Source organism: Homo sapiens, chromosome 20, assembly GCF_000001405.40.
Source record: "Homo sapiens chromosome 20, GRCh38.p14 Primary Assembly".
Lineage (NCBI taxonomy): Eukaryota > Metazoa > Chordata > Mammalia > Primates > Hominidae > Homo > Homo sapiens.
This window is the reverse complement of record NC_000020.11, coordinates 524588-546731: the sequence shown is the minus strand read 5'-3', so window position 1 is coordinate 546731 and position 22144 is coordinate 524588. Positions and strand designations below refer to the sequence as shown.

At 43.0% G+C, this 22144-nt stretch overlaps 1 protein-coding gene across 5 annotated transcripts in view, besides 8 other annotated features; it reads left to right on the top strand.

Moving 5' to 3' along the window:
• Window positions 2477-2536: an enhancer, noted in NCBI's record as "active region_17444". NCBI's record gives its function as "activates an Ori minimal core promoter by ATAC-STARR-seq in GM12878 lymphoblastoid cells {active_cell/tissue: GM12878}" and the evidence as "EXISTENCE:reporter gene assay evidence [ECO:0000049][PMID:35858748]".
• Window positions 2542-3235: an enhancer, noted in NCBI's record as "NANOG-H3K27ac-H3K4me1 hESC enhancer chr20:524141-524834 (GRCh37/hg19 assembly coordinates)". NCBI's record gives its function as "activates a minimal SCP1, AML or CMV promoter by ChIP-STARR-seq in naive H9 embryonic stem cells {active_cell/tissue: H9 hESC(naive)}" and the evidence as "EXISTENCE:reporter gene assay evidence [ECO:0000049][PMID:30033119]".
• Window positions 2647-2696: an enhancer, noted in NCBI's record as "active region_17443". NCBI's record gives its function as "activates an Ori minimal core promoter by ATAC-STARR-seq in GM12878 lymphoblastoid cells {active_cell/tissue: GM12878}" and the evidence as "EXISTENCE:reporter gene assay evidence [ECO:0000049][PMID:35858748]".
• Window positions 2807-2886: an enhancer, noted in NCBI's record as "active region_17442". NCBI's record gives its function as "activates an Ori minimal core promoter by ATAC-STARR-seq in GM12878 lymphoblastoid cells {active_cell/tissue: GM12878}" and the evidence as "EXISTENCE:reporter gene assay evidence [ECO:0000049][PMID:35858748]".
• Window positions 2907-3056: an enhancer, noted in NCBI's record as "active region_17441". NCBI's record gives its function as "activates an Ori minimal core promoter by ATAC-STARR-seq in GM12878 lymphoblastoid cells {active_cell/tissue: GM12878}" and the evidence as "EXISTENCE:reporter gene assay evidence [ECO:0000049][PMID:35858748]".
• CSNK2A1 (casein kinase 2 alpha 1) overlaps window positions 2942-22144 on the top strand; it is a 71293-nt gene continuing 52090 nt past the window's right edge. For 3 of the 5 annotated variants that reach the window (NM_177560.3, NM_001362771.2, NM_001895.4), the window contains exon 1: window positions 2942-3060. The gene's annotated coding sequence lies outside the window, so the exon portion shown is untranslated. Of the gene's footprint in view, window positions 3061-18682; window positions 18800-22144 lie in introns of all 5 variants that reach the window. The other 2 variants (NM_001362770.2, NM_177559.3) reach the window with 1 other exon arrangement.
• Window positions 3377-3436: a silencer, noted in NCBI's record as "silent region_12579". NCBI's record gives its function as "represses an Ori minimal core promoter by ATAC-STARR-seq in GM12878 lymphoblastoid cells {active_cell/tissue: GM12878}" and the evidence as "EXISTENCE:reporter gene assay evidence [ECO:0000049][PMID:35858748]".
• Window positions 3929-4622: an enhancer, noted in NCBI's record as "H3K4me1 hESC enhancer chr20:522754-523447 (GRCh37/hg19 assembly coordinates)". NCBI's record gives its function as "activates a minimal SCP1, AML or CMV promoter by ChIP-STARR-seq in naive H9 embryonic stem cells {active_cell/tissue: H9 hESC(naive)}" and the evidence as "EXISTENCE:reporter gene assay evidence [ECO:0000049][PMID:30033119]".
• Window positions 12001-12050: an enhancer, noted in NCBI's record as "active region_17440". NCBI's record gives its function as "activates an Ori minimal core promoter by ATAC-STARR-seq in GM12878 lymphoblastoid cells {active_cell/tissue: GM12878}" and the evidence as "EXISTENCE:reporter gene assay evidence [ECO:0000049][PMID:35858748]".

The window sequence follows — 22144 nt, the reverse complement described above, 5'->3', positions numbered from 1 at the left end:
GCCCTGGCAACATAGCAAGACCCCATCTGTACAATAATAATAATAGTAATAATAATACTACTAAATTAAAAATGAGCCAGGCATGGTGGTGCATGTCTGTAGTCCTAGCTACTCAGGAGGCTAAGGTGGGAGGATCGCTTAAGCACAGGAGTTCAAGGTTATAATGAGCTGTGATCATGCCACTGCACTCCAGCCTGGACAACAGAGCAAGATCCTGTCTCAAAAGAGAGAGAGAGAGAGAGAGTCACTCTAATGGCCCAGGTTGAAATGCAAGCTCCATCTCCGGCATGTGACCTTGGGCATGGCCTGTGATCTCTGTGAACCTGAGTCTCCTCATCTGTACGGTGAGATACTTTTGGTTTCTACCTCATCAGGTTGACATGAGGATTAAGTGAGATGATGAACATTCAGTGTGTGGCACAGTGCAAGTACTCTCAACATCTTAACTCTTGCTTCTGCTGCTGTTGTTTGCAGAAAGACTAGCCTGAGAGGTGTGATGTGGGGGATCAGAGACAGTAAGAGTTAAGGATAAATGTTAAGTCTACAACTAGGTGAACACTTGGGATGGGAAGCCTCTTGAGACCGGAGACCTACATGAGGCTGGCGTAGTAGACGGCAGGAGTTGGGTTTCAATTATGTCCTGCATGAGTATGAGGGTTGTATATGTGTGCCCAGGTGAGCCCTCTGAATGAAGTCATGGATAGAGGCCAGAACTAGGAAGAAGAATGAAGAACTAATGCTGTGAGAGAGGCTGAGATTGGAAAGGCATGAAGGCTAAGCAATGGGAAATATCCTCACTACACTCAGATGAAAACCCAGCTTCCTTATCATGACCTGAATGCCCTGCCCACCTCTCCCACCATATTTCTTCCTCTTCTTCCCTTTATTTGCAGTGCTTCAGCCACCATGGCCTCCTTCTTCAAACTTGTGATGCTCTTTCCTGCCTTGGGACGTTTGCACTTACTGTTTCCTTCTCAAAGGGACCTTCTGAACCACTCAAGCTAAAGCTCTATACTTCACAGCTACTTATCTTTTCCTTTCGTAGCACTTATTGCTACCTGAAATTACTTTGTTTATGCATTTGTTTACCTGTGCATTACTTGCTTCTCACTTTAGAAGGTAAGCTCCACCAGTGAGCAACTGGTGTATGTCTTCCTCATAACACATCCCCAGTACCTAGCACAGTGTCTGGCTCATAGCAAATGATGAATTGTTGTGAGTTAAACAAATGTGAATACAGTTGGGAAAAACAAAGCCACAAGAGCCAAAAAGATACGTTCGAGAGGTAGGTAGAAGGGTATCATTTCCTGGAAGATGGCTTCCCAGAAACTTTGGGATTATCTTGTATAACCTCCTCAGTCCACAAGTGGGGAAATTGAGGCCCAGTTACAGGACACTGAGAGAAAAACTGTTGTGGGTTCCCAGGCAATTGGGATCAGATGTCACAAGCTGTCTAGCAGATGAGGTCCAGAGAAGGCCACAGCCACCTCCCTGAGGCCATCACTATAAGTCTGCAGCCACCACCAGCCCTAACCCCACATGGGGAAGAGGTGCCTCTTTGGGAGCAGAGGTGCTAGTCAGCTGACAAACTGTGAAGGCAGGGCTGTGGAGGGTGGAGAGGCCCATTCCTGAGACAACCAGCTATTCTGAGACAGTTAGGGATAATGGTTGGTACTGAAAGAACCTGGCCTCCTCACCCTCGTTCCAGTGCTCACACCTCTGTCCCACCAGAGGTGAGACTAATACTTGAACTCCTTTCAGCAACTCTTAGACGCTTCAGCTTTTATCAGGGCCTGCAAAGGAGAGGTTGATCATCAGATGGAGCCCTGTCCACTGGGGGCTCCCAGTCTGATGGAGGAGACAGACTGAGGTCCTCAGGTTACTGACTGATAGTGTCTGGGTTGGAGGGAGTTAAACAGAGAGGAGACCCCTAGAGGAAAGGATCCCTGAATTAGTTCAATCGGCATACAGAAATTATCCAGTCCATGAGGTGACAGTAAGAGAAGTAACTGCCAGTGTAAAGGGAGGGAGGCAACACAGCTAAGTTCCAGGAATTGTTTGCAGTCTTGTGGGTGGAATCTTCCGGAATTTGAGAAGAGAGTGGCAGAATAGGAGGCTGGAAAGGAGGGTTTGGCCAAATTATGGAGGACTCTGAATGTCAAGTGAAGAGTTTGGGCTATCTTTGGTGCATAAAGAGGTCCATGGGAGATTTTTGACCATAGGGAGACCATGATGAGCTCTGCATGGTAGAAAGTGCTTTGTGGCTGTTTTGGGGAGGTAGCTCGGGCAAGGAGAGCAGGGGTGGGAGGCAGATAGAAGGAAAAAAAAACACTGTATTTTGGACGCACAGCTCTTGGCAGGACTCCTGTAGGAGGAAGGAATTGGGCCTTGGTCTCTTGAGAGCTAGTATCCTCACTTCTCAGACTCCTGCGCCATGCCCTTCCTAGGGTCCAACTTTCATTCACTTCTTCCGAACTCCAAGTTTGAATAGAAAGTGTTGCTGAAACCCTAATTTAAAACGAGGGGTCAGAGCAAAAGAGACTTCAGCTCCCAGAATGCTTGGCTCTACAGCTCTGCAGGTCGCGCATGGTTCTTTTCAAGAAAGGGGGGCCAGCTGGGTGAAGTGTGGGAAACCTGGGTACCGCCATCTTAACTTGGGTCAAACCAACTGTTCACCTAATGGGAGGTTCGTGTTCTCTCTGTTGTCACTTGTTAACACTATTGAAATAAAATGCGCTTAACTATTGCAAGTCTCCTTATTCTGCTTTGCGTTGGGGATTCCTTCCATTTTGCACCCTAGGCCAGAACTGAATCCCTAAGGTTACAATAGGACATCCCAGCATGGCCGCATTCAGAGAGATTCCTCTGGGGGCGGAGTCGGAAGCTGTCTCGCCCCGCCTCCTGGTAGGAGGGGGTTTCCGCTTCCGGCAGCAGCGGCTGCAGCCTCGCTCTGGTCCCTGCGGCTGGCGGCCGAGCCGTGTGTCTCCTCCTCCATCGCCGCCATATTGTCTGTGTGAGCAGAGGGGAGAGCGGCCGCCGCCGCTGCCGCTTCCACCACAGGTACCTAGGGAGCAGCCAGGCGAGGTCGTTGGCGGGTGGGGTGGGCCCAGGATAGGGCAGCGGAGCGCGGCCGACCCTCACGCTTCCAGCAGACTCCTGAGCGGCCCGTCGCCTTCCCCTGCCCCCACCTTCACACATAAACCAAGCGAGGCCCCTGCAGCCCATCGGGGAGGCCCAGGGGCCACCCCTCAGGGCGGAGGGCGAGGTTTGGGGGCAGAGGCCGATGTGAGGGTGGGAACCGGCTGCCGGAGTCCAGCTTATTGCAGAGGAGAGGACTGAACTGGGTGGGGACTAGGGGACAACTTGGAGGAGGGGGTCGTCAGAGGGGGAAGGGAACTTGAGGGGTGGGGCCGCAGGGGGGTGCTGGGGGAGGGTGCGGAGGGAGTGGTGCCTGCTGGGTAGTGTGCAGTGAACCCTCCCGCGAAACTGGGCAGCTGGAGTAGGGGCCTTCTTAGGGTCCCTCTGGGCGGGGCTGAGCTTCCCACCTGCAGAGTGGGTGCGAGGTGGAGAGAACCCCAGGCGGGGTTGCTGGGGCGAAAGGGGGAAGGGACCAAGACGTGGGGCAGAACGTCTGGAGTTGGAGTTAAGGACTAGTTAGGAGCCTGGATAGAAAAAGAGGTATGGAGAGAAAGCTTGGCTAAGGGTATACATATGTTGGTGACCTTTTGAAAGAGTAGGACTTTTCAATTTTGTTTTTCGTTGTGTGTTTTTTGCAGTGTTGGAACATTGCTAGATTAAGCAGGTGATGGGTGGAGCTTCTGTAGTTTGTTTTGGGGAAGCAGAGTCAGGGTCAGGAGAAGTTGCATCTTGGCTATTGCTTTGTGTGGAGGAAAGAGTTTTGAAAAGAAGGTGGCAAATTATTTGGGAAGACTTGATTACTTTTCAGCTGTTTAATTCTACGAGAATGGGACATGGGGAGAGGAAATGAAAACTAAGAAGAGAGGCCGGGCGTGTGGCTCACGCCTGTAATCCCAGCACTCTGGGAGGCCGAGGCGGGTGGATCACGAGGTCAGGAGTTCGAGACCAGCCTGACCAACACGGTGAAACCCCGTCTGTACTAAAAATGCAAATATCAGCCGGGCTTGGTGGCGCGCGCCTGTAATCCCAGCTACTCGGGAGGCTAAGGCAGGAGAATCGCTTGAACCTGGGAGGCGGAGGTGGCAGTGAGCTGAGATCCGCCACTGCACTCCAGCCTGGGCGACAGAGCGAGACTCCGCCTCAAAAAGAAAAAAGAAAACTAAGAAGGGAAGATTTTTCCAAGAATTGGAGACTTCATTCCATCTGAGGAGTGCAGTGTAGGCCCAGTGGTTAAAAACCAGACTGCCTAGGTTCTCAAATATCAGGGCCATTGCTACTTAGCTGTGTGACCTAAACTCTCTAAGCCTCAGTTTTCCCGTCTGTAAAAGGGGGATGATGGTATTTTCTAGCTTGTGAGTTTACGGAGAAGAGTAAATAAGACAATTTGTGTCAAGTGCTTACTACAGTGTCTGGCAGGTAGTAAGTGTAGTAAGTAGCTTTTACCTGTCACTGTAAAGGGACTAGCTGGTATATTTGGGGCTCTTCTGTTCTAAGTAAAATTTATAGTCAAGAATTTGACTGTAGACAGGGCTTTAGAGTAGTATCTTTGTAGTTGTTGTAGGGTTTTGTTGTAAGTCATTTGGCTTTACTGGCTTGGTGGACCTGGGGCTGAAAGTCCAGTACCAATACTAGTTCTCCTCCGTGGTATTCTCAAAAGTTCACCTGCAGTCTTAGCAGGGCATGTTTTTGTCCTTCTGTGACTTTGAAATACTTGGCTTTGGTTTGCTATTGCGGGAGGGTGTATGACTTGAAGAAAGAATGCAAGATTGGAAATTTGCTTAGATTGATTAATCAACTGATTATACAGTTAGGTCCCCGTGAGGTGACTTTTCTTTAAAAATAAAAAAAAGCCTAGTTATGTACTCCTTTGTGGAATACAGAGAAGAGAAATACACATTTAAGGAGGAGCATGGGTTAGTTTCTAAGTAGTTATGGGTGAAGTGCCTTGCAATTTGAGGATGAAACAGGTGGCAACTCCTTTTCCATACTGCGCGTCCTTTTCCTACTCACTCATCCAGAGTGAGTCCTTGTTTTTACTATTGTCTCTATCTCTGAACATACATCTTTGTGTCACATAAGTAAAGACATATGTATGTATGTATATATACTTTACTTCACATAAGTAAAATATATACATCTTTACTTCACACTCTGTTAAAGAAAGGGATGATTTTCTTTAGGAAGTGAGTTTAAACCCTTCCATAGGACTTGGATTTGTAGTAGGCAGAATTACATCTCCCTCTTCCCAAGGTGCCATACCTTGATCCCCAGAATCTGTAGCTATCCTGTGTTACATGGCAAAAGGAACTTGGCAGGTGTAATTAAGGTTAAGAATCTTAAAATAGAAAAATTATCCTGGATTTTCTGGGTGGGCCGAATCTAGTCACTTAAGTCCTTAAAAGCAGAGAACTTTCTCCAACTGGGATCAGAGAAATGGGCAGAAAAGGAAATCAGAGATTTGAAGCATGAGAAGGACTCCATTTGCCTTTGCTAGAGAGGACCACATGGAAAGTTTATCAGAAGGAATGTGGGCAGCCTCTAGTGGCAAAGACCAGTCCCTGGCTGACAACCAGAAAGAAATGGGGACCTCAGTTGTGCAACCAGAAGGAACCTGAATTTGGTCAACAACCTGATTGAGCTTGGAAGTGAATTTCCCAGTTTCCACCAAGGAATGCAACCTTGAGACACCTTGATTTTTGGCCTCGTGAGACCCTAAGCAAAAGACCTAGCTAGCCAAGCCCACCCAACTTCTGACCTACAATAACTGTGAGATAACAAATTTGTGTTATTTTTAGCTACTACATTTGTGGTAATTTGTTATGGCAGCAGTAGAACACTAGTATAGATTTTGGTACCAGGAGTGGGGTACTATTACCTAAAAATGAAAGTGGCAGTAGATAAAGGTTAGAATTGTTTTGAGGGGCATGATAGAAAAGGCCTGGAACACAGGAGGATCGCTTGAGCCCAGGAAGTCAAGGCTGCAGTGAGCGGTAATGGCACCACTGCACTCCAGCCTGGGTGGCAGAGTGAGACCCTGTCAAAAAAGAAAAGGCCTAGGACATACTTTTAGTAGCAATATGGATGTTAATGACTCTGCTAGTGAGGGCCCAGACAGAAGTGAGGTCTTTCTTATTGGAAACTGGCAGAAAGGGGATCCTTGTTACATAGTAGCAACTAAGTTTAGCAGAATTGTATCCTATGGTTATATGGAAAGCCAAATTTGCAAGTGATGAACTTGTATATTTAGCTGAGATTTCCAAGCAAAGTATTAAATGTGCAGCCTGGTTTATTTGTGAATGTGAACTTTAATGGAGTGGACCCATGTGGAATACTTCCACAGCCCATTAGGTTCTTGAGAATTTTATGCCAACATAAACAGTTCTAGTTTGGATTGAAAGAGACAGAAAGTAATAGGGCTGTTGGACCCCCCAAATTCTACTGATAGGAAGCAGGCTGATAAAACTACTCACATGTGAATGTGTTGCTTTTCATAAAAGAATCAGGGTGACTCAGACGGAGATAGGAGAGCCCAGAGGGGTGGAGCTAAAAGCTGGAGAGGATTTTTCCCAGGCTTTGAAATGGAATGGAGATTCCCTAGATTTTGAAACTGCTTTGGACCGGAGGCTCTGTTTTCTTTTACATTTTGCCCATTTGAACTGGAATGTCTAACTGTTATTCTCTACATGTCTCACAGTGGTATGTTGGGAGTAGAGAACTTGTTTCTTTAGGAATTGTGCCCCAGGAATTGGACTTACTGTTTTGTCCCCAGAACCTCATCCACACCTGAATAGATGAATGAGATTTGGGACTTCTGAAATGATAAGCTTTAGATGGGAAACCTTTGGGACCTTGGGATGGGATGGATGTATTTTGCATTTGAGAGAGAGATGAATCCTTGGAAACCAGAAGGCAGACTGCGGTAAGCAGAATGGCTCCCCTACGATTTCCATACTATAAACCCTGGAACATGAATATGTTAAGTAGATTTAATTAAAGTTAAGGATCTTAGGTAGATTATCTTGGATTTTCTGGGTGGGTTTATTCTACTCACATAAGCACTTAAAAGCAGAGAACTTTTTCTGGCTGGTGTCAGAGATGAGGCAGAAGGGGAAGTCAAATTTGAAGCATGAGAAGGACTCAGCCTGCCGTTACTGGAGGGGACCAGATTGAAAGTGTGAGACGGGGAATGCAGGCAGCCTCTAGTAGGAAAGGCCAGTCCCAGCTGACAACCAGCAAGGAAGTGGGAACTCAGTCCTACAGCTGCAAGGAACTAAATTCAGCCAATAGCTTGAATGAATGTGGAAGCAAATTTTCCCCAGAGTTTCCAGCAGGGAACCCACCCACTGGATACCCTCATTTAGCCCTTGTGAGACCCAGTCAAGCCCACTGACTTCTGTAAGATAATCCATTTGTGTTGTTTTGTTTGTGATAATTTGTTATGACACAATGGAAAACAAATACAGGGGTTTTGCTGGTTTTATTTTAGAGTCTTTGGGATATCATTTTCTAGAGAACAAAGATAGCAAAGATTCTATAAAACAATTTAGTCCTGGAAGACTCCACGGAATAATGGTGTTGAGTGGAACCTGTGCCTGTTTCTTGATGTTTGAATATTATTATTGTCCTTAGATGCAGTTTGAAGGGGCTTGATGGTCAGCTTAGTGAGATGTAGTTTCTGAAGGTCTAGGACATTGGTAGGATTTCTGTAAATAGGTGGTTCTTCCATATCTTGGATAAATGACATAATTTCTTCATTAGTTTTTATTGGCTTAATAATGGGTTTCTATGACAGCCTTTTAAGGCTTATTTCATATTTTTTTAGAGGAGATGGAAATGGGTGATACATTTTTGTGAATTTGTAACTGTCTCTCTGTTCTCTCACACCTCCCACCCCACCCCAGCTCAGCTCAAACTTGTAAGATCTTTTCTCCCTGTCATTGTCTGTTGAGGTTGTTGAGTTTAAGAGTCAGATCTGGGAATCATCACTACAGAATGGAGTTTCTAGCTTTTAAGAAAAGTCTTTTCTTTTTGTTCTTTAAAGTATCCTATTAATTGGATTCATAAAATATGGACTAACTAAACTTTAGTCAGAGGATGAAGGAAGTGAGACCATTTCTTTTGAGTTATTACCTGAATAGAAAGATGATTACAAGATTAGCATTTCAGGGTATGAAAGACTTTAGAGGTTATGTTTGACTTTGGGTTTAGAGTAAGGGAAATTGGGCCACATGAATGTTAACTGGTCTACTAAGATATCTCAGCCCTAGAGCTAGTCTAGAATCCTGGTCCAGCCAATAGAGAATCATGACTTTTGAACTATGTTCCCTGAGTACCCTTTTCTACTGTTGGCCGGGCATGGTGGCTCACACCTGTAATCCCAGTTCTTTGAGAGGCCGAGGTGGGCAGATGACTTGAGGTCAGGACAAGACCAGCCTGGCCAACATGGTAAAACCCCATCTCTACTAAAATTAGCTGAGTGTGGAGGTGCGTGCCTGTGGTCCCAGCTACTCAGGAGGCTGAGAATCACTTGAACCTGGGAGACGGAGGTTGGTTGCAGTGAGTCAAGATCACGCCACTGCACTCCAGCCTGGGGGACAGAGCAAGACTCCGTCTCAAAAAAAAAAAAAAAAGATGTTAACTGTCTATAATATTCAACTATATGACAACTTTTGCATAAATATTACAGTATGATTTGTACAAGTTCAGAAACTGAAAACCAATATGATTTGCCATTGAATTAGGTAAGGGCTTAGTATTTTAAGGTAATAAATAATGTGATACTTGATTTGAAATGAGAAACTGGGTTTTGATCTGTCACAATTCGTGGGTAACCTGGATAAGGTTTGTTTCATGAGAGTATTAATGTGTTCTTATACCTGAATTTCTTTGAACTTCTGAAATGGATAATTTCGAAAGTAGCATGTCATTTAGTTTATAGAGAAATCTAGGCCAGCCAGCTTTTCAAATGAAGAAATTCCTCTAGGATTATTAAGGAAAAGTAGCTGCTGTCATTGTAACAAAGGATGTATTTTCATTGGGTTATAGACAATTGGTAGTTTTCTTACGTTGAGTGCTCCCAGATGTACTTTTTTTTTTTCACATGTAGAAGTCAAAGATTGAGTCTTTTAAAAAGTTTAAGGTGAAAGCATTCACAGTATCACAAGATACTGCTAAGAGTGGCATTTTAACTGGTTTCTACAAATTCTGTCTTTCAGTCTTAGACATTAAAAAACCCTACGTAGCAACAGTTGCTATGGTCGGCAAGCTTCTTTACATTCGTGGTGATAATGTTTTCTTGCATAGAAAATATTGTGTTATCTGAGGTGACAGTTTTAGGGTTAAATACCAAGGTACAAGTTAGATTAATGTTTTATAATTTTTTATGTGTGACATCTTAAATGCCCTTATATTGGCTGCTCTTTTCTTTTTATACTTTCTTGTCTTGTGGGTTTTTCTGACAGGTTTTTATTAGCTGAAACATTTTAATTTGCTTGGAAAAGTGAACATTTGAAATTTTCCTGAAGTTATGACTAATGCTTTAATGGGCATTTCTCAGTTTAGCTATCTCATCAATGTTCTATAAATTTTAAGAAAGCTACCCTGTTTAAAATGAATGGGTAAATTATTTTCCAAAAAATGGTATCATGTCATATCCAGAAATACGAGATGGTCATTTTGGGTTATTGAATTCATAACCACTCAGAAGATGTTGTTCATTCAGCAGATCCTGAGCGCCTGCCACGTTTCTGGCAGGCGTTGTGCTAAAGATCTCCAAACTGTCACTGCCCTCCAAGCTCAAAATTGAGTGACGTTTTCTGATAACAGGCATATCATACCACAACTTAGTAGATTTTGGAGGTGTTTTCTTATAATAACTCCTATTTGCTTTGTATCTTAGGTGTAGTTTTTGAAACAGCTGCAGAAATGAGAAGGGGGTAGAATAGAGAATTAATTGAGATTGCGGGTAGGGAGGGGAAGGCAATAGGTTAGTGGGAAAGAACTCCCACTTTGAGTTTGGGGAAGTTTACTTAACCTCTTCAAGTCTGGGAGTTCTTGTCTCTACAGTTCGGATAACAACTACCTTGGGCAACTTACTAACTTTTGGTTTCTTCACCTGTAACATGGGAATTAGTAGTACCTACCTCAGGATTTTTGTGAGGATTAATAACTAGAGTACTAGCTAGTATTATCTCAGGATTATTGAGGATTAAAGGAGAAAATTGATAAAATGTCTGGCATGTGGGTGCCCAACATTAGTTCTTTCCCTTCCCTTTCGGAGAAAAGAATGTGTTTATTGCCAGTGCTGTCATTCTTCATTCTTTATTTTCATTTTCTGCTGCCAAGAGTTCTTATTTTTTTAATGAGACTTTTGACCTGTACTTCCTTGTTTCTAATGTAGCCTGTTGGGTGGGTGAGGTATGAATTGCTGCCTAGGGGTGGATCAGTATGTAAGTCACGCCCAGTGTAGATTACCTCAATTACTCGTGTACAGTGTCTATTACCTAGTCCTGGTGAGTCTAGGATTCTTTTGCTTCTAGATAGAGAAGGTAATATTCCCATCTCAGACTCAGGAAAAGGTCTACCTTTGCTCACCTATAGACTTGTAAATATAGATCAGAGGTCTTACTCCCAGTGGTTCTCTGATCACAGTTTGGGAATTGCTTGAATATTGTGTGTTAGGGATATGTTTGGAGAAGGCCAGCTCCCTGCATTAACATCTTCTCTATGTCTTGCTCTCTCAGGTAATCCACTAACTTGCTTTCTTGTTTGCTTTGTATTATTAAGTGATAAACTGTAGGCAGACCAGGAACTTGTATTTATCGGCACTTTAAAACTTTTTTTTTTTTTTTTTTTGAGATGGAGTCTTGCTCTGTCGCCCAAGCTGGAGTGCAGTGGCGCAATCTCTGCCTCCTGGGTTCAAGTGATTCTCCTCTCTCAGCCTCCTAAGTAACTGGGATTACAGGTGCATGCCACCCCACCGGGCTAATTTTTGTATTTTTAGTAGAGGCGGGGTGTCGCCATGTTGGCCACGCTGGCCTCAAACTCCTGACCTCAGGTGATCCACCCGCCTCAGCCTCCCAAAGTGCTGGGGTTACAGGCGTGAGCCACCGCGCCCGGCCAGTGTTTTGTGTATTTATGATTATATAGAATGGCTACAAATGGCCATCTGCTTTGGAGTTGTCTACCTTTTGTGAAAAAATGAAAATAGACTATTGCCTAGCAATTAAGTATTCAAGCATGTATTTTGCCACATAATTTATTGTGAGAAGGTTATCAATGTCAAATAAAATGCTTTCATTATTTGCTTCTATTTGTCTGTCTTCCTGACCAGTTCATTTTTCCTTCCAGTGAAGCCATCTTGAGCTAGGGTTTTCTTTGTGGGTAGTTGTTAATTTTTTTTGTAGAGACAAGGTCTCACCATGTTGCCCAGGCTGGTCTCAAACTCCTGGGCTCAAGCAGTCCTCTTAACTCAGCCTCCCAAAGTGCTGAGATTACACTCATGAGCCACCACACTGGTCCGAAGAAATTTTTTTTTTTTTTTTTTTTTTTTTTTTTTTTGGGAGATAGCATCTCACTCTGTTGCCAGGCTGGAGTGCAGTGGCACGACCTTGGCTCACTGCAACCTCCACCTCCCGGGTTCAAGCAATTCTCCTGCCTCAGCCTCCCAAGTAGCTGGGACTACAGGCGCACGCTGCCACGCCTGGCTTTTTTTTTTTTTTGTATTTTAGTAGAGATGGGGTTTCACTGTGTTTCCCAGGCTGGTCTCTAACACCTGAGCTCAGGCAATCCACCCATCTCGGCCTCCCAAAGTGCTGGGATTGCAGGTGTGAGCCACTGCACCCAGCCTGGTCTGAAGAATTTTTAAACACCACAGCTAAGGACCTGAGCATTCATCTGCAGCTACCTATATGCTCTTGTTACATACAGTTGTTATACTAGGGGGTTTTTCACAGCCATCTTTTATGACTGTTTTTGGAAAACATCACATTGACCTTCATACATATTCAAAACTTTAGGCTTTGTTGCATCTGGAGTCCAACACTGAGGCCCACAGATGTCACCAGCCCCCAGCCAGCAAGGTGGGGCATGTCTCAGTTGTCTTCCTTTCTCCCTTCAGTAGCCACACAGAAAAGCTTTTCCATCATTTAAAATCTGATTTTTATACAATTGTGGCCTGGTGGCCAGCCCATTCAGGTAAAAGAATAATGAAGAAACCTGATTATTGAAACTCAGTATCCCACCCCTACCTTGCCTCCAAATTTAAAGCAGTTCATTTTATTATAGTGTTTTGGATAGGCTGTTAATAAATCAGTTTGGAGAACTAAGGAAATAGTATTAAATTTAGTGAAAAGAACCTATTTAGGCTTTGGATCCTAAACAGATCTGGCTTCCACCACTTAGTAATCCTGTTGTTTTTGGCAGATTATTTAACCTCTGAATCTGTTTATTTCTAAAATCAGAATATGCATCTGATACTGTGCCTGGTTTGTAAGAGGCATTCAAATGGTAACAGTAGTTATTACATTCATAAGTGCTGAATTTTTCTTTAGATTACTGTATATCCCAAATGAAGTTTTCCATCTTTTGGTTCCAGAGGGTAATAGCCAGTGGAGTAAAGTTTCACATTGTGACTTTATTTTGCTTATATGGCGTGGTAAAAAGGTGTATAGATGATGACTATATTGTAAGAGACAGTACTGGAATTCCGATTTCTCTTAGGTGTTTGGGGTAGAACTATTAATCCAAATCAAACTGCTTGGATTTTCTTCTAATACCTCCCTTCATTGGGAGACCTCACACTGTTGCTATGTCATTTATGTCACATTGACACTCAGATCCCTTTTCTGGGTTGAAGGTGGAGAAATGTAATTCACACAAAAGGCCCAAATGCTAATGTTTTCTGTTTTACTGTACTTCCTGGTTTGTTTTATGGAAGTAATACTTCCGTGTATTGGTTTAATTTTTTTGTATGTATGTATGTATTTATTTTGAGACAGCGTCTCGCTCTGTCACCCAGGCTGGAGTGCAGTGACATGATCTCGGCTCATTGCAACCTCTGCCTCCTGGGTTCAAGTGATGCTTCTGCCTCAGCCTCCCAAGTAGCTGGGACTACAGGTGTGTGCCACCACACCTGGCCTATGTGCATTGTTTTTAAAAACAAACATGTTGTATGTTTTGTATGTAGGAATAAAAGCAGAAGGCCCCTAGGGGCATGTTAGGATTTATAATCTCCTAAAGTTAAATATTCTGCAAGTTTACACAAGCAGTAACTTCATGAATTACTAAGTATTACTGAGAGTATTTATGTTCCAAATTCGAAGCCTTAATCAAACCAGAAAAAAACATATTCTGTTGGGTTTGAACAGGTAGTTTTCTTATTCATTGTATACTTAGAACCTTGGGACTTAAAGGTCAGAGAGTCAAGGGAACTGCCAAGGAGTTAGTTGCTAGATATTTTTTTGTTTTTTTGAGCTGTATATATTTCCCCACTTGAAAAAACAAAAACACTACTACTTATATGGCATTAGTATGATAGGTGAGAGAGAATGTTGTTGGCCATGGTTACCACCTTAAATTGACATGGGAAAAGAGAATCAATATGAAGTGGAGGAAAAAAAACAATAACTTCATTTAATCATACATTTTTACCGTTAACCTGTTTTCTTTTGGCTTATCCTTCTGAGCTAGGGTAAGGAGGCTTGTTTTGTCTTTGTTGTTTTTGTTTTTTTGTGTCAGTGACCTCCAAATAGATGATCTTCCAGACGAAATGGTTGCCTGTTAGTACATCTGGTCTATACTTGAAAGCTGCAAAAGGTGATTGCGTATCTCTTGAAATAAGAGGAATTGTGAAATAGTTTTCTCAACCTGCTGCATGGATTTTGACTATTCAGGTCGTGATCTCCACAAGTTATTTAAACTAGAATTTCTCAACCAGTGTATTGTGTTAGGGTGCGTTACAGATGTGTTGAGATACTGGTCCCCTCACACCTCTGGCCATTCATGCAGAATATAGTTTGGATACAGCATCCAAACTAATGACCTCAGATCCAGAGCAGTCTTGATCATTTACCCCATTGTGCCATACAAATATTATTTTCTGTCTTGACTGTAAAAAAGACTGGGAGCAGTGGCTCACACCTGTAATCCCAGCACTTTGGGAGGCCGAGGCGGGCAGATCACAAGATCAGGAGTTCAAGACCATCCTGGCCAACATGGTGAAACCCTGTCTCTACTAAAATACAAAAAAAAAAAAAAAAAAAAATTAGCCGGGCATGGTGGCGCTTGCCTGTAGTCCAGATACTCAGGAGGCTGAGGCGGGGGAATCGCTTGAACCCAGGAGGCGGAGGTTGCAGTAAGCCGAGAGCGTGCCACTGCACTCCAGGCCTGGCGACAGAGCGAGACTCCATCTCAAAAAAAAAAAAAGTTAAAAGTTTAGAAAAACTGGGAGCACTAATTTAGAAAGCTCAGTAATTGGATATCTGAACAGTTTTAAGATTCAAGGGGGTAAACAATCTGAAAATAATCTTGGTTTTAAGTTTTTAAAGCCATTTTAAGGTACCTCTCTGACCCACAAGTAATTCTCTTTGGACACATGATTCAAAGGATATGCTTTAAAATACAAGACTGTGAACAATTTAAGGTTGGACAGTAGTGAAGAAATTCAAGTTCTTATTTTCTAAGCAGTAATGTGAGGCAGAAGTAAAGTTCCCTTTTGTAAAACTGTTATCTCTACCTGACTAACTCTGAATGCTACTGTATCTTTTCTGAGGCTGACATTTTGTTAATCATTCATCAAGCTTGGGTCTCATACTCTGAAGCCTAGGATACATTGTCTTCTTGTCTTCCTTCAGGAAAGAATGGCATATACTTAGTTTGAGCAGTTTAATTTTTTAATATTTATGTAAATCACCAAGTTAGCCTTCTTAGATGAGTTTCTGTTTGTCTAACTCAGGAATTATTAATTTTGCTGGAGTTTACAGATTTCCTGAGCCTGTAATAATTTTTTTCTTCAAAAAAAAATGTACATGTACATGCTGCTTTATATACATTTACCAGAGAGTTCATGGCCACTGATCTCATTGTTGAGCTGCATTTTCAGTTCCAAAATTTGTGTAGTCTAAATAAGAGTTCCCCCATCTTATTATTTGTAAATTTATATATTTAGTATAAACCAGGGATTGATTGCTCAAATGCCTTCAGGAGTCGAGTCAATAAGGTAAATGAAGAGTTGTCCAGGTTTACGTGTGGTATCTCCATTGGGTGTCTGTTAAAAGAGCCAGTTGTTGGACAGTCACAGCTTAGCATATCCAGCAGGTTTTTGTCAGTGCAGGAATGAAGAGTCATTGTTACCAGACAGACAGACCTACCTGCCCTCCCTCCTGCTTTATTTCTTTTAAGAAATAGAAAGTTAAATTTTTTTTTAATTTTGGTAACTGTCACTTTGAAAAATATTAATTGTGAAAAATTTTAATACATAATTCACCTTAATACCTTTTCTTTTGTTTTTTGAGACGGAATTTCACTCTTTTCACCCAGGCTGGAGTGCAATGGCGCGATCTCAGCTCACTGTAACCTCTGCCTCCCAGGTTCAAGTGATTCTCCTGTCTCAGGCTCCCAAGTAGCTGAGATTACAGGTGCCCACCACCACACCTGGCTAATTTTGTATTTTTAGTACAAATGGGGTTTCATCATGTTGGCCAAGGCTGTCATGAACTCCTGACCTCAGGTAATCCGCCTGCCTCAGCCTCCCAAACTGGTGGGGTTACAGGTGTGAGCCACTATGCCTGGCCCCTGATTTACTTTTTAAAAACAGTGTGAAGGCTGGGCACTGTGGCTCATACTGTAGTCCCAACACTTTGGAAGGCTAAGATGGGATGATCGCTTGAATCCAGGAGTTCGAGACCAGCCTGGGCAACATGGCGAAACCCTGTCTCTACTAAAAATGCAGAAAATTAACTGGGCGTGGTGGCGCACACCCATAGTCCCAGCTACTTGGAAGACTGAGGTAGGAGGATCACTTGAGCTCAGGAGTGTGAGGCTGCAGTGAAGTGAACTATGATCATGCCATTGCACTCCAGCCTGGGTGACAGAGCAAGGTCCTGACTCTAAAAAAAAAAAAAAAAAGGAAAAAAAGTGAAAAACTTGTACACATATGCACCTAGCGACATTATTTCATAGTAGCCAAAAAGTGGAGACAGTCCAAATATCTGTCAGTGAATGGACAACCAGAATGTGATGTATTTATACAGTGAATTCAGCTGTAAAAGGAAATGAATTACTGATACTTGCAACAACGTGGATAAACTTGTAGACATTTTGCTAAGTGGAAGAGGCCACATATTGCATGATTCCATTTATGTGAAATGTCCATAATAGGCAAATACATGAAGACAGAAAGCAGATTATTGGTTGCCAGAGGATTGTAGGAAGAGGCTATTGGGAGTTAATCCTCTGAGGTACTGGGTTTCTTTTTGGGGCGATGAAGTGTTCTGGAATCAGATAGTGGTGATGGTTCCACAGCATTGTGAATATACGAAAACACACCATTTTAGGGTACTGATTGTACCCTAAAATGATGAGTTTTATGTTACATGGATTTTATCTCAATTTTTAAAAGTAATATGTGAGCCAAATAGGAGATATACACACAGAGTAGTCCTGTTCCCAGCCATCTGTGGGAAATATATTCCAAGATCCCCAGTGGATGCCTGAAACCACAGATAATACCAAACCTGATTATCATCAGTTGGAACACAGTTTTCTGTTGATGTCTTCTACCCACAAATTTAATGCCTTTTCCATTTTAACTAAGCATTTATCACATACTGCGGTCATAACTTTTGCAGTTTGAGGTACAACAGCAAAACAAATGTGAATTTATTTTTCCCTCTTCACATTATCACTGATAGAAGATTTGTTCTTACCATAGATCTTAGCAATTTCCACATATGATTTTTTTTTCCATATTAAGTCAAGAACTTTTACCTTTTTACTTAAAGGAAGCACTTTACAGCTTCACATTGGCATTTCCAGATTCTCAGCATCGCTACTCTTGCACTTTGGGGCATTTCTTAAGTAAAATAAGGGTAACTTGAAGACAAGCACTGCAATACTGCAACATTCAAGTAACCAAGAAGGCTACCAAGTGACTAATGAGCAGGTGGCATATACAGCTGGACAAAGGGATGATTCACATCCAGGGCTGGATGGTACTAGATGGTGCAAGATTTCATCACATTACTCAGAACCATGTACAATTTAAAACATGGCTGGGTGCAATGGCTCATGCCTGTAATCCCAGCACTTTGGGAGGGTAAGGCGGGAGGATTGCTTGAGCCCAGGAGTTCAAGACTAGCCCGGGCAACATAGTGAGAAACCTTCTTTACAAAAAAAAAAAAAAAATAGCCAGGAGTGGTGGTGCATGCCCGTGGTCCCAGCTACAAGGGAGGCTGAGATGGGAGGTAGAGGCTGCTACAGTGAGCTACGGTTGCACCACTGCACTCCAGCCTGGGTGACTGAGTGAATCCTCGTCTCTAAAAACAAACATGGAAAATAAAACTTATGACTTATTTATTTCTGGAATTTTCCATTTAATATTTTCAGACTGCAGTTGACTGCGGGTAACTGAAACCATGGGTATGGGGGTTGGCTGTGTTTGTGGTCACCAGTTTACAGTCCCTTGCTGTAGAACAGAAGAATAGGCTGTGAATCTAGACGAATGTTTTCCAATCACTACCTCTGACATTGGGAAGGTTATGCAGTTTTGCCTTCTGTAAAATGAGAAAGACATTACTTAGGTCATGGACTTGCTGGTTTAACAGTGATAAATCTGGCTGGGCATGGTGGCTCATGCCTATAATCCCAGCACGTTGGGAGGCCAAGGTAGGAGGATTGCTTGAGCTTAGGACTTCCAGACCAGCCTGGGTAACATAACAAGACCTCAGAACAAAAACAAAAGACATCTCAGAAAAAAAAACAAAAGAAAGAAAGAAAAAAAAGAAAAAATTTAATTAGCAGGGGACAGTAGTGTATGCCTATGGTCCCAGCTACTAAGGAAGCTGAAGGAGGAGGATTGCTTGAGCCTGGGAGGTCAAGGCTGCAGTCACCCACCCTGGGTGACAGAGCAAGACCCTGTTACACACACAAAAATGATAAATCCCAAGAATCAGTGACTGACATAGGCATTCACATAATATCTTCAGAATTGAAAGGCAACCAGTTTTTACTGCCCTTACTTCCAGCCTATTCTATTTTTGTCAGTTTTAGGACAACCTACCTTATTAGCTGTTGGTTATTGATCACCTGCGGAGATGATGGTTGTCTGCTATGTAACCTGCCACCATGGCAGTAAAGAAGGGAGTGGGGGAAGGGTGATAATCCTTATATTCTGCAGTTTTCTCACTTTAATCAGGTAGGTTAAATAACATATCCAACATCAGATGTAGGTTGTAGTGGTTCTAGTGTACTTATTCTTTCTGCAACCTTATGATGTCTTTTAAATCCAAGATCCTTTCAGTAACGGAGTACTGAACTGTTTTTGTAGCTCTATCAAGGCTTGTCAAGCAGTGTGCTCATCACATGGTAAATCATGCAGCGTGGAACCTCATAAAATCTCCAAGAAACATCATTCACCCATACTGACTAGTTTCACATCTCTTTGGTAAGTGATAGTAGGAAACCTTTTTCCCCTGGTTTAAAAAGGATGGATGCAATAACATTTATAGGTAAGACTGAGGAGCATTTTAAAAACCACAGGCCGGGCACAGTGGCTCATGCCTGTAACCCTAGCACTTTGGGAGGCTGAAACAGTTGGATCACCTGAGGTCAGGAGTTTGAGACCAGCCTGGGCAGTGTGGTGAAACACGGGGCATCCACCAAGAGAAATAAATCAAAGTCCAAGTACTTGAATTCATAATCTGAGGAGAGAGGTGTATGTAAACAAAACACATTCAGTGTGACAATGTCAGAGAGTATATGGGGTTGCTTTGGCCCTGTAGAAGAGGTACTTGGCCTGTTTTGGAGAAAGATGGGAATGCTTCATAGTGTGCTTCATAGTGGATGTAAAGTTTGCTGATTCTTGAAGGGTGAGTAGGATTTCCCCTAGCAAGCACTATTGGAAGGCATAATCAATGTATAAAAGCACAGAGACCTGGAGAGGAGTGGGAAGCAAGTTCAGTCAGTTTAAACAAATGTTTTGAAAATGTTAATCTGTGCAGTTCAAAGACATTAGAATAGAACAGGTTGAAACAATACTGATTGAATTTATTGGTTATGGGACTATTTATGGTTTTCATTTTTTGTGTCAGTTTTTGTTTTTTCTCCCTGAGAATCAGACTGGGATCTTGTATCAGTTTTGATAAATTATTTTTCTTCTGGGAATTTCAAGTTTGTGGGCACAAAGTTGTTCGTGATATTGTCTTATCTTTTTACCATCTGTAGGATCTGTAGTGATGTATCATTTCCATTCTTGATACTGGACATTTACCCTAATTCATCCCTCACTCCCTCATTTCCATTCTTGATATTGGACATTTACCCTAATATTCATTCTCTCTCTCTCTCTCTCTCTCTCTCTCTCTCTCTCTCTCTCTGTCTGTCTCTCTCTCTTTCTCTCTCTCTCTCTCATTCTTTCTTTCTTTTTTTGAGACAGAGTCTCACTGTCGCCAGGCTGGAGTGCAGTGGCATGATCTCAGCTCACTGCAACCTCTGCCGCCTCCCGGGTTCAAGCGATTCTCCTGCCTTATCCTCCTGCTGGGACTACAGGCGTGTGGCACCACACCCAGCTAATTTTTTATATTTTTAGTAGAGATGGGGTTTCACCATATTGGCCAGACTGGTCTCGAGCTCCTGACCTTGTGATCCGCCTGCTTCAGCCTCCCAAAGTGCTGGGATTACAGGTATGAGCCATCACACCTGGCCCTTCTTTTTTTTTTTCTTAAATCAAGCACACTTACATTTTTAATTTCTTCCCCCCCACCTGCAGAGGCAGGGTCTTTCTCTGTCGCCCTGGCTAGAGTGCAGTGACATGATCATAGCTCACTGCAGCCTCAAACTCCTGGGCTCAAGTGATCTTCCTGCCTTAGCCTCCTGAGTAGCTGGGACTCAGCTAATTTTTTCCATTGTTTTTATTATTAAAAACAATTTTTTTGAGATGGAGTCTCACTGTATTGCCCAGGCTGGTCTCAAACTCCTGGGCTCAAGCAGTCTTCCCGCTTCAGCCTTCCTAAGTATTGGGATTACAGTCATGAGCCACCATGCCTGGCCTAATTTTTAAATTATTTTTGTAGAGATTGGGGGTTGCACTCTGTTGCCCAGGCTGATCTCAAACTCCTGGACTCAGACAATCCTTTGCCTTGGCCTTTCAAAGTGTTGGGATTACAGGCATGAGCCACGGGCTCAGCACGAGCATTTTTAAAGACTCAATTGGTATTGTGGATCCTCTTTGTTTCATATTTCTTTGATTGCTGCTTTTCCCGTTTTTTTCCTTCTAGTTTCTCTGGGCTTCTGTTTTCAAATTTATTGAGATATGTGTAAGTTCTTAATTTTTAGTTTGCTTTTCTAAGTTCAAGTTTATGAATTTTTATTTTCGAATCAGGGCCTTGCTATGTCGCCCAGGCTAGAGTGCAGTGGCATAATCACAGCTCACTGCAGCCTCCACCTCCTAGGCTCAAGTGTTCCTCCCATCTCAGACTCCTGAATAGTTGGACCACAGGTGCATGCCACCACACCTGGCTTTTTTTTTTTTTTTTTTTTTTTAATAGTTTTAAGTTAAAAAAATAGAGACAGGGTCTCACTATGTTGCCTAGGCTGGTCTCCAAACTCCTGAGCTCAAGCAATCCTCACACCTTGGCCTCAGCCTCCCAAAGTGTTGGGATTACAGGCATTAGCCACTGTGCACAGCCTAATTATTATTATTTTTTTTTTCTTTTTTTTTTTTTTTTTGAGATGGAGTCTCGCTCTGTCGCCCAGGCTGGAGTGCAGTGGCACGATCTCGGCTCACTGCAAGCTCTGCCTCCCGGGTTCACGCCATTCTCTTGCCTCAGCCTCCTGAGTAGCTGGGATTACAGGCGCCCGCCACCATGCCCAGCTAATTTTTGTATTTTTAGTAGAGACGGGGTTTCACCATGTTAGCCAGGGTGGTCTCGATCTTCTGACCTCGTGATCCGCCCGCCTCAGCCTCCCACAGTGCTGGGATTACAGGCGTGAGCCACTGCGCCCAGCCGATTTTTAAAATTTTTATTTTTATAGAGGCGAGGTCTCGCCATGTTGCCCAGGCTGGTCTCGAACTCCTAGATTCAAGTAATCCACTCACCTCAGCCTCCCAAAGTGCTGGGATTACAGGCATGAGCAACCACACCTGGCCTAAGTTTATAAATTTCTAAGTCCTGCTTTAATTGTATCCCACGTTTTGAAATATCGTATTTTTATGAACAAACTCTCTATAGCCTATGTTTTTTTTTATTTAAAATTTATTGATTGATTGATTTTGAGGCAGAGTGTCTGTCAGCCAGGTTGGAGTGCAACACTGTGATCATAGCTCACTGAAGCCTCAAACTCCTAGGTTCACATGATCACTTCAGCCTTCTGAGTAGCTAGGACACAGGTGCATGCACCATACTTAGCTAACTTTTAAATTTTTCTGTAGAGATGGTAGTCTTGCTGTGTTGCCCAGGCTGGTCACGAACTCAGCCTCAAGCCATCTTTCCTCTTCAGTCTCCCAAAGTGCAGGGACCCCTGAGCTGTGCCCAGCTCTTAATTTCTAATTGATACATAATTGTACATATTTATGGGATATATTGTGATGTTTCAGTGCATGTATACATCGTGTATATAATATATACCCCATGTTTTAGATGTATCTCTTTTTTTTTTTTTTTTTTTTTTGAGATGGAGTCTCCGTCACCCATGCTGGAGTGCCCACTGCAACCTCCACCTCCTAGGTTCAAGCGATTCTCCAGCCTCAGCCTCCTGAGTAGCTGGGATTATAGGCACCCGCCACCACACC